The following is a 15,701-nucleotide window of genomic DNA, read 5'->3' on the forward strand; positions in this document are numbered from 1 at the left end:
TGTTGTTTTAATTTTAGAGATGGGGTCTTGTTATGTTGTCCAGGCTGGAGTATAGTGGTTATATGTAGGCACAATCATAACCACTACAGCCTTGAACTCCTGGTCTCAAGCAATCCTCCTGTCCTCAGTTGGGATTACAGGCACATGGTCACTATATCCGGCTCTCCTGACCAAACTTGAACAAATGCCTCTTAGGATGAGCAAAGAAAGTGGTTTCTCAAGATGGAATCTCCTCCTAGTGATGATGCTGTGAACATTGTTGAAATGACAACAAAAGATCTAGAATATTACATAAACCTATTGATAAAGCAGTGGTGGTGTTTGAGAAGACTGACTCTAATTTTTAAAGATGTCTCCTGCAGGTAATATGCCAACAAACACCATTGCTAGCTATGGATACATCTTTCATGAAAGGAAGAGTCAACTGACACAGCAAGCTTCCACGCTGTTTTATTTTCAGAAATTGCCACAGCCACCCCAGCCTTCAGCAACCACTGCCCTGACCAGTCAGCATCCACCAACATTGAAGCAAGACCCTCCACCAGCAATGAGACTACAACTTGTGTAAAGCTCAGATGATCATCAGCATTTTTTAGTATTTTTTCAATGAAGGTATGTGCATTTTTTTTTAGACAAAATGCTATCACATGCTTACTACAGTATAGTATAAACACAACTTTTATAAAATTCTGAGACTGGGTCTTACTCTCTCACCCAGGCTGGAGTGTAGTAGTGCAATCATAGCTACTGAAACCTTAAACTCCTAGGCTCAATTCTCCCACCTCAGCCTTTAGAGTGGCTGGGACTACAGGAGTGTGCAATCATGCCCAGCTACTATTCAAAATCTTTTTAGAGATGGGGGTCTTGCTATGTTGCCCAAACTGGTCTCAAACTCTTGGCCTTAAGCTATCCTTCTGCCTCAGCCTCCCAGGTAGCTGAGATTACAGGTGCAAGCCACTGCACCTGTGGTTTTATGCACTGGAAAACCACAAATTTGTGTGACTCTATTGCAATATTTGCTCTTTTGCAGTGGTTTGGAACTGAACCAGCAGTATCTCCAAGGTATGCTGTTATTTGTATTGAAGTCTCTCAATTGCAGCTAGTAAATTTACAGTACAAAGAGTATTAGATATCTTCTGAAACACAAAGTCACATCAAGAAACTTGTATGTATGTACATGTAAGTCTTTTTAGAAAGCAATCTATGCATATTTCTTTGCATTTATTTGCTGAAAGAAAAACTTAGAGCAGTTCTTTCAATATTTCAATTAATATTTAAGTGACTAGTCTATGTCAGAGAACTAGCAGGTACTATAATACAATGAGAGCTCCCAGAACCGGCTTAAGGACAACTGGTAATCTTTTGTTCATAAAAATATAGTTTAAGAAAAATAAAATAAGCTGAGCGCAGTGGTTCACACCTGTAATCCCAGCATGGTGGGAGGCCAAGGCAGGCGGATCACCTGAGGTCAGGAGTTCAAGATCAGCCTGGCCAATATGGTGAAACCTGTCTCTACTAAAAATACAAAAATTAGCTGGGCATGGTGGCGCACGCCTGTAGTCCCAGCTACTTGAGAGGTTGAGGCCAAAGAATCGCTTGAACCCAGGAGGCAGTGGTTGCAGTGAGCTGAGATGGCACTACTACACTCCAGCCTGGTGACAGAGTGAGACTGTCTCAAAAAAAAAAAAAAAGTAGCTGGGTGCAGTGGCACATGCCTGTAATCCCAGCTACTCGGGAAGCTGAGGCAGGAGAATTGCTTGAACCAGAGGTTGTTGTGAGCCAAGATCGAGCACCACTGAACTCCAGCCTGGGCAACAAAGCGAGACTCCGTCTCAGAAAAAAAAAAAAAAAAAAGAAGAAAACCGGAGTCATTGAAGTTGGATAAACTTAATAAACTTAAGTTGGTAAATAATAACATTTAAACAGAAAGCTGGAAGCTGTAAAGACGTTAAACATTTATCAAAAGTTGACTATGCTTGCTGTGAACATTCTATAGTCTTTTCCTCCCCCACGCCCGAGACAGAGTCTTGCTGTCGCCCAGGCTGCAGTGCAGTAGTGCGACAAACATTCTATAGTCTTTCCATAAAAGAATGACTGCGTGTACTGCTATCTTATAAAAAGGTAATGAGTCTCTGTGCAAAATAGTTAAGGCAGAGCCCAAACTTTAAAACTGTAAAGCACTGTTTGAATGACTGAAACTTTCAAAGAGAGTGATTTGTCAATCAACAAATCTGTATAAATTACAGTAAGGAATGCAACGATGAGCCTATTTTAAATAAAAAATTTCCTGAAAATCAGATTAATTGTATTTATCAAGAGAATTTAGAAATACATGATAATGATGGTTATACTACCTTTTTCTTTTTTTAATAGACAGGGTCTTACTCTGTTGCCCAGGCTGGAGAACTATCAGAGCAAGCTGCTGCATGATCCTTTGACACCATTTGAACTTAGGCACAATTACAGCTCAGTGCAGCCTCAACCTCCTAAGCTCAAACGATCTCCCACCTCAGTTTCCCAAGTTGCTAGGACTACAAGCATGTGCCACCATGCCCGGCTAATTTTTTATTTTTTTGTAGAGATGGGGTCTTACTATGTTGCCCAGACTGGTCTCAACCTCCTGGTCTCAAGTGATCCTCCTGTCTCAACCTCTCAAAGTGCTGGTATTATAGGTATGAGTCACTGTGCCCAGTCCATAATACATTATTAAATGACAATTTTTTCTGAAATGAAATTTTTTTAAGATAGACACTAATATTTTTAATCAATTTCAGAATAAATAACTTGATTGACTTCCATACCTTTAACATCTGGATCATCAATGTGGGGCTCTAGATTTTCTATCATTTCTTCCAGTTCCTTTCTGGTGGCCATGGTGATGTTTGGAGAACTGGGCACAGGGCCCTCAGATTCTTCCTCTGGTCCCTCTGGGCTGGGTTTTCCCCCAGAGTTCTGTTCAAGCTCTATGTCTAGATCTATTTCAGGAAGAGGAGTCCTCCAGAAATGGAAGGAGTTATACAATTCCTGATCTAAGAGAGCTGAATCTTGTGAAGTGGTGCCAACCTCTGGTCGTAACATAGATTTGTAGTTACCAGGTTTTTTATCATTCTCATTACTAGCTGCTTCCTGGTGAGATTCTGAGGACAAAGTACAAAGTAAAGAGCTGTCCAGTGGAACACTAATTTCACCTAGAGGCTTCCCGGATGCCTCAGCAGCATGGTCTTCCATCGTGTTTTCCAGTATGACACTGGAATTACTAACACTGAGATCTGAAGGAGTATCCTCTGGCCTGACTTGTACATCCTCTGGGGCTTCTTGATCTCTGGTCCTTTTATTGTTTTATTTGGTGGGAAAAAAACAATATGAAAGGATAATTACTTTAAAAAAACTGATGAAAGATATTACATATAGCATTTAGACAAGTTAAACATTAAAAATTACGGATTATCTGTACAAACTGAGTTTATGTATATTATTTATAATGCTTCTTTCTCCATCAGCTGTTCTGTGTTCAAAGATGTAAATACCTGTTAAGTATAAGTCTAGATAGTCAAGCAATATATATTAGTTAGAGAAGGTAACATTTAAGAATCCTGGGATTCTATAACACCATGCTAATTTCAATAATAAATAACTAAAGAAAAGTAGTGGAAACAGAAATTCCTACAATCATTTTAAGATACATAACAACATTTAAATTATTTTATTTTTAGGGTTATTTGTATTACCTCTCTACTCCAACGACATATTGCAAAGCTGAGACCTAAAGCCTATTTGCTTACATTACACAAGGAAAATAAAATAAAAACAATTTTAAGATAGTAGTAGGAAAGATACTTATTTGCTATCTCACAAAATATATTAAAATCTGCTTGAGTGTAAATATTACTTCTGTTTCTTCTAAAATATTCATCTCTACTCCCCAAGGTTTTCCTAAAATGAGGACATAATTTAATTGATAAGGACAGATGGTACAAATTCATTAAAGTCCACTGATTACTGCCATCTATTATCTGAAGTACGACTGTAAGTGTTATTATTTGATTCAATTAAATTTAACAGGCATTTATTGAGCACCTACTAAGAGCCAGGAAATGAAATCAGTATTGAGGATTCAAATGTGAATGAGATGCAGCTCTTGATCTTGAGATTACAATTAGAGGCAAACAGAAAAAATGAAGATATATCAGCAAATTGCTGCTAGACAGGGTGGTAAGCACAGATGCAAGCACACTGAACACAGGAGGAGATGGGAGTGAAGATTAAAAGGCCTTCAAGGAAATGACATGAGTTGTGCTTAGAAGAACCAATACATGTTTATGGGGCTAAGGGGAAGAAAAAAGCATCTAAAGGAGAAACAGGACATGCAAAGGCCGGAGTGGCAGAAAAGGTGTGACGCATTCAGGAATCAGCAATGAGGAAATGATGGATGACAAGGATGAAAGATATCACATGAACCACTGTATTCCAGACCAGCAGACCTCCGGAGTTCATCCTGGACTACAGGAAATCATGTAGTAAGGAAATTGTTAATAGATCTGTTGTTTTAGAAAGACCATTCTGGAGGAAGTGTAGAAAATGAGTTGAGAGGTAAGATAGGAGGCAGGAATTACAGACATGCAGGTAAGAAGTGATGATGTTCTGATGGAGGCAGTGTCTCCAGGACTACAGAAGAACACATTCAAACAGCAGCAAAAATCAACAGGACTTTTCCACTTATTGCATGCTGCAGGTAACAAAAACAGTTTCACAAGAAAGCTAACAGGTTCAGGTTGAAAGAGGTTGAGTTAGCTATCCACGTTGGGTTCTAGGTGGTGATTATCTATGAGAAAGAGGTAAAGACTGAGACAGAGGTGGAGGTCATCAACTCAGAAAGATGTGTGGGGCTGACATATGCGGAGGCAACAAGTATTAATAAAGAATAACACAACTGCATAGAATAACAAAGAGTGAAGGCATTTTTCCTGTATAAAAGAATGATGAGCATATTTTTAGGCTGAGGAAAATAGGTTAGAAGAGATGAAAGAACTGGAGACACAGAGATTGATGAAATAACTGATAAAGCAATGTCTTTCTGAGAAGAGGAAAGAATATGGGCTTCAAAAACACAGCAAAACAGATTAAACAGTGAAGAGACTTGCTTCCCAAGAAACATGAAAGGGAAATAAGGATGGCTGAATATGTAGGTAAATTTGTAAGATGAATACAGGAAAAAGCATCTGTGTGCCTTTAAATACACACAATAAAAGATGTTTAACAGGAGACTTAAAAGGACTGTGCAAAAGGAGGGTGATGTTAATGCCTATGTGAGCTCCCACTTAAACAGTCACCATCTACATTCTCATGAAATTACGAAGTTCCCTCTCATCATAATGCTGTTTTCAAAACCATTATTTTCACAAACAGGTGATTATTTTTTAAAATACTGATGAACAAAAACATACGTAAGTCATCTGAAAACATAACACATTGTGACTGCATTTTAAATTCTGGTATTTTTCTTCTTATAACTACAAAATATACAGTATGCATATATAATACAATTGTTTACAAGTGTGAAGAAATCAGACTTTAACGTTCTTACTCTCGCACTGGCACTACGTTAATATAAAATTCTGAACCTTTTAAGGACTTCTAGGATTCCTCACTTATTCCTTATTCATAAAAATGAGGAGTTGGCCTAGATAACCTGTAAGATGTTTTCCCACTCCAAAGGAGCTCCTGAAGCTAGTGCTGTTATGCAAAATAAATGTGTCTTCTACATGTTTATGAATTATGTATTTCCCATTTTGTCCATATTAAAAAATATGTATTTTTCCCTTTTGTTATAAAGAACATTAGTGGGCCAATTGGTAAAATTCAATAAAGGCTAGATTAGCTAACAGTATTGTATCAATGTTAATTTCCTAATTTTGGTAACTGGACTACAGTTATATATTAACATCTGTGTTTTAAAGAAATACATAGTATTTTAAAAAGGTAAAAAGAATATCATGTCTAAAACTTATTCTCAAAGAGTTCAGAAAAAAAGAATAAAGCAAATATGGTAAAACAGTATTTGGAAAATCTACATGGATATATGAAGTTCTTTGTGATATCCTTGCAAAATTTCTGAAATCATTCAAACTAAAATTTTAAAATTATAATAAGATATTGTTCAGAAAGGGGGAAGAGAAGAGCAAATGGGTAAAACTTGTAAGACCTCGTATGTACTATCTAATAAATACAATGAACTTCTGTTTTGTTTATTGTTTTTTTAAGAGACAGGGTCTCGCTCTGTAGCCCAGGCTGGTGTAAAGTGGTATGATCATAGCTCACTGCAGCCTCAAACTCCTGGGCTGAAGCGATCCTCCTGCCTCAGCCTCCTAAAGTGATGGAATTACAGGGCCTTGAAGTTCCTTGATCACTAGCTCACCTTGGTGTTAAAATTAAATTTTAATATTCTCAGCTGCAAAAATGAACGGAGAATGACTGGTCAAATAACTGTTTGTCTGATAAATGTAAACTTGTTAGTTTGTCCAAACTTAAAACTCTTAGAATGATTTTTTTAAAAGGAAACTAGAAGACAAAGTTTCCCTAGTACAGTATTAAATTGTGGACAGAACTACAGCATGCATGGCTTCAAAAATGTCGAAAGTATAAATTCTCTAAATTCTAATTTTTCCTGGTAAAGTATAATAGTCAATACAAAATCAAGCTGTTCAATGCTAAAATTCTGATATTCCTAATTGTCAGACTTTGAAATGCTATTGTACAAGACAAATTTTTTTTTGAAAATTGAGGCCCTTTGTGACTCTGTATAATGGGAATTATCCTGTCTCCTAAGAGACGTAGGTATCAAGAGCACCAGAGGACAGTCCAGAAACTACCTACTTAAGGAGGAATCTTAAGTGTCTTTTTGTGCCTACATAAGTTTATAATTAATATCTTCAGAGTTCCTTAGTAGAGACTATGGGCCTAGAAAATTAATTACAGGTATTTCAAGGAGAAAATGACTTGTAGAACATCTGGCTAAAGAGGTATTGTATCCTGAGATAAAAGCAAACACGCTCCAGGATACCTTCCAAGTACTGTGAATTAACTCAATGAAGTTTTAGCATTCATGAAATATTTCCAAATTTGTGCTAATAATTTTTTTTCATATAGTTAGCATTAAGCTAAACTGGAAAAATCCAGCAAAAGTGGTTTAGTTACTTCAGATTTTTGAGGTCAAATCCATATTTCCCTAGAATAATTCATTCAGGATTAATATGTGCACCAACGGGCCAGGCCCAGCGGAGACAAAGGGAGGAGCTGGACGCCACACTGCATGGCCGGGAGGCTACTGGATGATAGATGCCAATATGTAGCCAAAAGGATAGGATTAAAATAGTGCTCTCATTACAGCGCTACTGATGATGAAGACAAAAGCTCTGTACTTCCTGGACAACTCAGTGCATCTAAGACAGCACTTTGTTAAACGAGGGTATGGATGGAACAAGAAGCTTCCCAGAGAGCAGCAAGTACAAAAACAGGGAGAATTAAGAGAACATGGTGCATTCAGAGAACAATGTGATAACGAATGCTTATTTTACATACTTTTAAAATGCAGATTTGAGTATTTCAACTCTGCTTCTGAGAAGTAGGCTTTATCAGCACTTTCAAAGAAGCATTAACAGCCTGATCCAGGGTGAGTGAAAGATCTGATGTGTAAGTCAGATGTTTGGAATCAATAAATGCTTCAAAGAGTAATAAAGTGATAGTAAATGTTTCTAGGGTCAGATGAAACACTATACAATAAACAGTGGTGGAAATATGTTGCCAAAAACTTGCTTACTTTGTAAGACATTTGTTTGAAAAACCTGAATCTAAGAAACTGAGAGAACTTTGAGGACAGGAACGAAGTTCTATCTTTCCATTTACAGTTTCTGGTTCATAGGAGGTGCTCAGTTAACTTTTGCATAATCAATCAATCAATCTTAATACCACAACAGTTTAAGACAGCTTAAAACAAATGCCACTGTGCTATTTAAGGGAGGGCAAACAAACTAATGGTTCTGAGATTTAATAATATATAGGACTACTTCTTTATAGTTTGTCAAACTATGCAAAAGCTTTTACAATATTTAACATAACTCCTTCCTTAGCCAGGAATGCTCTCTTTCCCCTACCATATCATTAACATAATTTAATAAGCTCTAATATTACTGAAGATCAGCAATACAAGTAGTATTGCCTGGACATTAAGACATACCTCATTACAATGGAAGAAGAATCAAGGAATTGAACTACCTTTAAATAGCTATTGCAGTAATGCTACACACCGGTAGGCGGCAAACATGGCCTTGATAGGCACACTGTTGAGGTCAGTGAAGTTTTACTGGAACACAGCCAAGCTTGTCCATTTATGTAATGTCTACGGCTGCTTATACACTGCAAAGGCCGAGTGAGTAGTTGTGAAACAGAAGAAAGTTTACCAGCTCGTCCTATACAGTTCTCTGCAAATTTATAGTTTCTTACTAGACCCATTTCAGATTTTAAAACAGAAGTTATGTAACAGTCTTCAGTATAAACAGGTAATTTTTTAAGTATGCTGATTTCAAAAATGAAAAATAGATAACATTCCCCACCCACCATCATCACTTTTGTCAAAGTCCTGGCAGCACCTGTTTTCAAAAAAACTGACAGACTTTGCTTGCTAGGAAGACAGGTTTGAGTGATTTTCTTCCTTTACAAAAAACAGTACCTCAGGTTTGTTTGGCTATTCAGCAGGACAGTAGGAGAACGGGCAAAAAGGTAAAACAAGGCAGCAGAGAAGAAAGAAGAACTGCCAAATCAAAACACCAAGAAAGCAAATAGCACAGTATCAAGACCTACAGAAGAAAATGTCCATTAGCATCATGACAAGGGAGGGAAAAGACACTATGGTAACTCAAGCATTATAGCAGGGACTGTTTCAAATATTTGTACTAAAATTACTTCAAGTGCATAACTGTAAAAGTTTGTGTACATTTCCCGCATACTAGTAAGTTAGGCTTGAATTAGTTTTTCCCCTAAATATATATTATAATAAATTTTTAAAATTTAAATTTAATAGAAAATTTTCAATGCAAAAACATTTAAAAATAAAAATCACAGCCGACTCTTTAAGCTTTATTTAAAACTTTGGTTTCCTTATGAGACTGATATACTTAAAACTGATATACTGGCTAATATACTGGCTTTCTCCTTTAACTGACAGATTACAATCACCATTGACAAAGAATCCAAGATGCGCAACTAAATTATTTGACAGAAAAGGACAATAAAACATATTCCTAAATTAAGTTTTACTCCTTAAAAACAAATTTAAAAAAACCCAAATACTACACAGTGTGTAACAATTACCCTGTATATTGTAGATATCAATGAATGATTGACTAAATAATGTACTAAATAAACATTTTTTAAAAGTCATAATCTACCATTTAGAGTTTCCTATGTGCGAGGCATCTAGCTAATTGTGTTACATGCATCTACTCATTCAATATGTAACCAACCAAAGAGATACTTAACAAACAAATGCGCTTAAAGTAAAGCTCTATAAAAATATTCACCAATTTTTATATTCAAGAGAAATAGCAAACTATCAAAAAATAACATTTGTTGCAGAATAGTGGAAATAATGTTTAAAAGCAGTAAAATTAGAAAACAAGGTTTTAAAATTAGAAAATGGTTTCAAAATTATACCTATTTTTGTTTTCTACTGACATCTCTTCTGAACTTTTGCTTTCTTCTTTAAAATACTGGCCTGAGCTAGATGGATTAGCAAAAGTAGATATGAAAGGTCCCAGAGACTGAAAAGCTGCTTGGCGAACCTAGGAAGATAAAAAGGACAATAATAAAGGAATCATTTTGAAAAAGAATTATATACGCACACATTATGTATATTTAATAATCTACTTTCAAATGCCGAAGTATGTTTAGGATAATAATGAAGCTTTTCTAAAGGAAGCCCAGATTCAGAACTTTAGCTAGGACTGAAAAATTCTTACAAGCTATTTTCTCTGGCTGGGCGCAGTGGCTCATGCCTGTAATCCCAGCACTCTGGGAGGCTGAGCTGGGCAGATCGCTTGAGTCCAGCAGTTTGAGACCAGCCTGGGCAACATGGCGAAATCCAGTCTCTACAAAAAATACCAAAGTTAGCAGGGCGTGGTGGCGCATGCCTGTGGTCCCAGCTACTCGGCAGGGCCTGAGGTGGAAGAAGCGCGTGAACCCATGAGGCTAAGTCTGTAGTGAGCCGTGATCACACCACTGTACTCCAGCCTGGGTGACAGAGCAAGACTGTCTAAAAAAAAAACCCCAAACAAACCCCTATTTGCTCTTTTTTACTTTCAATTGTTTTTATCCTCTCTTGAATGTTTGAACCATGATAATCTAAGTATGAGATACTATGAAACATTTGCATAGAACAAAACTAAAGAAGGTCCTGCTGTGTTCTCAAGAACAAAAAGAATAAGGAAAACCAAGAGTGCCACAAAGAACATAAAAATCAATAAAGCCAACAAAATGTGATAAATACATTTAATGTTTTCAGGTAGGAAAGACTTTAATTTGTTCACTAGAAGGAAGCAAGACAGACGTACCAGAAACATAATGTTAACTTAAAGTATGTCACAAAGATCTTGAAGCATATACTATTGTTCTTGATGACTGTCTCATGTAGGAGGGGTGATAAAGAAGTTATAGAATTCCACTTCATGTCGTATTTCTGTATTATTTTTAAAATCAGGAATTTTTAAAACATTTGAAAATGAGAGGTTTTATGGAAGGATGGACACAATCGGACAAAGGCAACAACAATGGGAAACTGGTATGTTACTAAAACCTTGACTTTGCCACACACCAATTTCCCTGAAGTTTAGCATTCCTTTTCCTTTTGAGACAGCTCTTGCTCTGCTGTGGAGGCTGGAAAACAGTGGTGCTACCATGGCTCACTGCAGCCTCAAAATCCTTGGCTTAAGTGATCTTCCAACCTCAGCCTCATGAATAGTTGGGGACTATAGGCATGTGCCACCACATCCAGTTAATTTTTCTATTTTTTTTGCAGAGACAAGTCCTTGCTATGTTGCCCAGACTGGTCTTGAACTCCTAGCCTCAAGCAATCCTCCCACCTCCTCCTCCCAAAGTGTTAGGATTATAGGTGTGAGTCACTGCTCCTGGCTAGCATTTCTTTTCTTTAAAAAAAAAAAAAAAGCATAATAATACCTTTTTCAAGTTTAAGATAATAATTATATAGTAAGCATGATTTTTACAAAAGCAAATAAATGTAGAGATATCTATTATTAGTATTTACCTACTCTTGGAGAAGCATACATAAAAAATGACTCAATTGATTTTTTAAAAAGGCTAGAATTATATGCATGAGAGGGAAAAGAATAGCTTGTATGTGTGTAAACTAAGGGTTTTTCTCCCCTTCGTAAGTCACTTACTTACGAAACATTATGGAAACATTACTTCCATAAAAGGATAAAAGGTCACTTTTAACGCTGTATGCACGAATTTAATCTTCTCTGAATACTGTTAAATCTCTGAGCTTGTTCCCAATAAAGGACATAGAAAACTTAATTTATCTAAATCATTAGTTTAGCTTGTTGTTAGATTAGAATGAAAAAAGTTTAATGTGGAGGAGAGAGATCACAGTGTCTAATAAGTTAATTAAATCCTACTATTAATCTACCTCCTTGATTTCACAAAAACAGAAACTGAAATCCAAATAAAATGACTTCTTCAGTGTTACCCTATAGTTACAATGAAATCAGGACTGAAGTCCAATTTTAACTCTCCAACACATCCCACTGCCTGTAATTGAGTAATTTTCCAACACTATAAAAATATTTCTACTTTGAGCTATTCCTCAAAATAAAGTGATTTTAAGCTATTATTTTTACTAGTTTCAATGACTTTAAGAAATAAACAACTAATGACTTTAAACAAAGGTTCTGGAAACCACTAAAAAACCCACAAGTCACTCAAAGAATAAATATTAACGAATTTCAGAAATAAAATTAACTTTTAATTCAATTTTAACTTTTGAGAAGGGACAATACAGTAGATTATAACCTTCCCCAAATGGCTTAACATTGTTCGGACAAAAGACTATCTTGTCTTTTTTTTGCACCTAAATAGGCATAGGATTTACACGTGTGTGTGTGTGTGTGTGTGTGTGTGTGTAAAATAGGCATAAGATACACATTTTTCTCAGACAGGTGCAGCATATATAGCCTGCCCTCTGTATCCACAGGTTCTGTGGATTCAACCAACTACACATTGAAAACATTGTTAGACCCATGATGGTTGTGTCTGTATTGAACAAGTACAGACTTTTTTCCTTGTCATTATTCCCTAAATAATAGAGTAACAATTACTTACATAGCATTTATGCTGTATTAGATGTAAGTAATCTAGAGACGATTTACAGTGTACAGGAGGATGTGCATAGGTTATATGCAAATACTATGCCATTTTGTATCAGAGACTTCTGAGTATCCTCAGATTTTGGTATCCACAAGGGGTCCTGGAACCAATCCTCCATGGATACCAAGGAACAGCTGTATATCTCTAAAATGACTGACATATCCATATTCTCAAATTAACAGGAACTAATGCATGTTACCAATCCAAAACAACGACCAAATACATAGCTTCACAAAGAAAATTGAGTAAGCTATGTTAATCTTTTCTAACAAGCCGATACAGGATATAACAAAAACATTAATATAATATCAAGGCTTAAGAGTCTTGCCCTCTATGTCAATTTTGTTTTGGGAATGAATATGCAAAGGTCCTGAGATTGATCTCTGCCATGACGGTGTGAGGAGCTCAGCTGACCCACTTCTCAGTGAAGTAAGTGAAAATTATAAAACAATAATTCAAAGCCCCTGGAAATGGCCCTAGGAGCAAGCAGCAATTGAAGGGATAACAATTAAAGAAAACTGACAAAATGTAGTATACATCATAAAAAAGCTGAGAGTCTAATTTTTTTTTTTTTTTTGAGACAGAGTCTCGCTCTATTGCCCAGGCTGGAGTGCAATGGCGCGATCTCGGCTCACTGCAAGCTCCGCCTCCCAGGTTCACGCCATTCTCCTGCCTCAGCCTCCTGAGTAGCTGGGACTACAGGCGCCCGCCACCACACCCGGCTAATTTTTTGTATTTGTTAGTAGAGACGGGGTTTCACCGTGTTAGCCAGGATGGTCTTGATCTCCTGACCTCGTGATCCACCCGTCTCGGCCTCCCAAAGTGCTGGGATTACAGGTGCGAGCCACCGCGCCCAGCTGACCATTCCCTCCTTGTAACGCCTCCAGTGAGGTGAGGTGGAGACAGCAGTGTGCTGTAGCCAAGCACACTGGGGTCTGCTCTCCCGCAGCTCCCGGGCACAGGCTGCATCGCTCCAGCTACCTGATGCTGAGGTCCAGTCCTGAGTGAGAGCAGCTGAGGGGTGAGGCTCCTTTCTTCCACCCTCCTTTGGGTGTGGCACACTGAAAAGGCTGGGGCCCCAAAAGGCACTGGTCTACCTCACAGGGTGGTGATTCCTCACCAGGAGAAAGAAGCCAAGGGAACCTCAGGCTGCTGCCCTTCCATACCCACTAAGCCCCTGTCATACCAGGGTGGCTGTGGGCAGACCCAAAGCTGTACCTCCTGGAGTGGGGAAATAGTCTTCACTCAAGCATTCCAGCCAGTCACTAAACAAGCAAATAACAGTAACAAGCCCCCATGGGGGAGCGAGGACAACCAGTATCAAACTACACATATTATCTAAAATGTTCAACTCTCAACAAAACATTACAAGGCAGGCAAAAAAAAAAAAAATCCATACATTAGGGGGATAAAAGAGACAGGCAACAGAAACTGATTGTGAGAGCAATCAGATTTCAGACTTAAAAAAAGACTTCAAAGTAGCTATTATAAACATGTTCACAGAACCAAAGGAAATGATGATTACAGAAGTAATGGGAGTTATGGGGACGGTGCTGCATCAACTAGAGTATAACATCAATAAAGAGAAATTACAAAAAAGAACCAGATGGAATTCTACAGCTGAAAAGTGCAATGACTAAAATAAAGTCAGTACATGAGCTCAACAGTAGATCTGAACTGGCAGAACAAATAATTGTTCTATTGAAGATAGATCAATAGAGATTATGCAAGCCAAAGAATAGAGAGGGGGAAAAAATTGAGGAAAAATGAAAAGGGCCTCAAAGAAATGTGGGCCATCATTAAGCACATTTAACATATACATAATGGGAATATTAGAGGGAGAGAAGAGAGAAGGAAAAATATTTGAAGAAACATTGGCTCAAAACTTTTCAAACGTATTGAAAAACGTAACTTACATAACTAGGAAGTTCAATCAACTCAACTCCAAGTAGTATAAACTAAAAGAGGTGCACATACGGACACATCACAGTAAAAATTCTGAAAGTCAAAGGCAAGGAGAAAAATCTAGAAAGCAACAAGCGAAAAATGACACATCACTTACAAGGGAACCCCAATATGATTAACCGCTGACTTCACAGTAGAAACAGAAGAGGTCTGAGGCAGTGGCATAACACACTCAATCTCACATTAAGTAAAGCTGTCTTTCAAAATTGAAGGTGAAATAAGGACATTCACAGATAAATGAAAACAGAATTTGTTGTTCGCAGAACCACATTAACAAGAAATACTAAATAAAGTTTTTCGGGTTGAAAGCCATTTACCCCAGATGATAATTCAAAGAAGGAAGGAAGACCTCTAATCCACAACCTAACCTTCTGCCTAAAGACACTGGAAAAAGAAGCAAAATAAACTAAAAGCAAGCAGAAGGGAGAATAAAGATTAAAATGGAAATTAATGAATAATAGAAAAATAGAGAAAACCAATGAAACCAAAAGTTGGTTCTGTAAAAAGATCAACGAAGCTGACAAACCTTTAGCAGACTGGCCAAGAAACAGAGACAAGACTCAAATTACTCAAATAGGAAATGAAAGAAGAGGCATTACTACTGACATTACAGAAATTAAAAGATTATAAAGGAATCCTATGTATAATCATATACCAACAAATTAAGTAACTTAGATGAAATGTACAAATTCCTAGAAAGATACAAACTATGAAAACTGACTCAAGAAAAAAACACACAACAGACCTATAACAAGTGAAGAGACAGAATTAGGAATTTTACAACTATCTACAAAGAAAAGCCCAGGCCCAGACGGCTTCACCACTGAACTCAACCAAACATTTAAGAGATAATCAATAACAATTCTTCAAAAACTCTCCCCAAAAACAGTAGAGGAGGGAACATTTCCTAACTCATTTTATGAGGCCATTATTACTCTGACAACAAACCAGACAAAGGCACCATAAGAAAACTACAGACTATTATCTCTCATGATATGGACACAAAAACCCTCAACAAAATACTGACAAACTGAATCCAGCGACATATAAAAAGAATTATACAACTATGACCAAGTGGGACTTATTCCAAAGATGCAAGTGGTTTAACATCTAAAAATTAACATAATACATCATGCCAATTAAATAAAAATCAACAGGACTTAAATGTGTAAAGAAATTTTTGTCCTGTTACAAAAAAACACACAAACTGTTAATATAGTAGTCTTTCTACTGTCTATTCCTAAAAGTATAAAAAATAATATATCTTAAATTATAAGTTATTTCTTATGAGGTCAAAATTA

General features: G+C 36.9%; 1 protein-coding gene across 19 annotated transcripts in view, besides 3 other annotated features; it reads right to left on the reverse strand.

Annotated features, from left to right (window-relative positions):
- Positions 1–15,701, reverse strand: part of PPP4R1 (protein phosphatase 4 regulatory subunit 1) — a 70,406-nt gene that overhangs the window by 20,562 nt on the left and 34,143 nt on the right. For all 19 annotated transcript variants that reach the window (NR_052003.2, NR_168403.1, NR_168404.1 and 16 more), the window contains 2 exons: positions 9,709–9,836; positions 2,802–3,328 (listed from right to left, as the gene is read on the reverse strand). Coding sequence is in view for 15 of the 19 variants with exons in the window: in XM_047437976.1 (XP_047293932.1) it covers positions 2,802–3,328; positions 9,709–9,836 (655 nt within the window). In the remaining 4 variants the exon portion in view is untranslated. The remainder of the gene's footprint in view (positions 1–2,801; positions 3,329–9,708; positions 9,837–15,701) is intronic.
- Positions 2,755–2,937: a silencer, noted in NCBI's record as "fragment chr18:9570108-9570290 (GRCh37/hg19 assembly coordinates)". NCBI's record gives its function as "represses an EF-1alpha promoter that drives an FKBP-Casp9 reporter gene in an ReSE screen in K562 erythroleukemia cells {active_cell/tissue: K562}" and the evidence as "EXISTENCE:reporter gene assay evidence [ECO:0000049][PMID:32094911]".
- Positions 6,875–7,385: an enhancer, noted in NCBI's record as "OCT4-NANOG-H3K27ac hESC enhancer chr18:9574228-9574738 (GRCh37/hg19 assembly coordinates)". NCBI's record gives its function as "activates a minimal SCP1, AML or CMV promoter by ChIP-STARR-seq in naive H9 embryonic stem cells {active_cell/tissue: H9 hESC(naive)}" and the evidence as "EXISTENCE:reporter gene assay evidence [ECO:0000049][PMID:30033119]".
- Positions 7,386–7,896: an enhancer, noted in NCBI's record as "OCT4-NANOG-H3K27ac hESC enhancer chr18:9574739-9575249 (GRCh37/hg19 assembly coordinates)". NCBI's record gives its function as "activates a minimal SCP1, AML or CMV promoter by ChIP-STARR-seq in naive H9 embryonic stem cells {active_cell/tissue: H9 hESC(naive)}" and the evidence as "EXISTENCE:reporter gene assay evidence [ECO:0000049][PMID:30033119]".

The sequence above is a fragment of the Homo sapiens genome, chromosome 18, assembly GCF_000001405.40.
Source record: "Homo sapiens chromosome 18, GRCh38.p14 Primary Assembly".
NCBI lineage: Eukaryota > Metazoa > Chordata > Mammalia > Primates > Hominidae > Homo > Homo sapiens.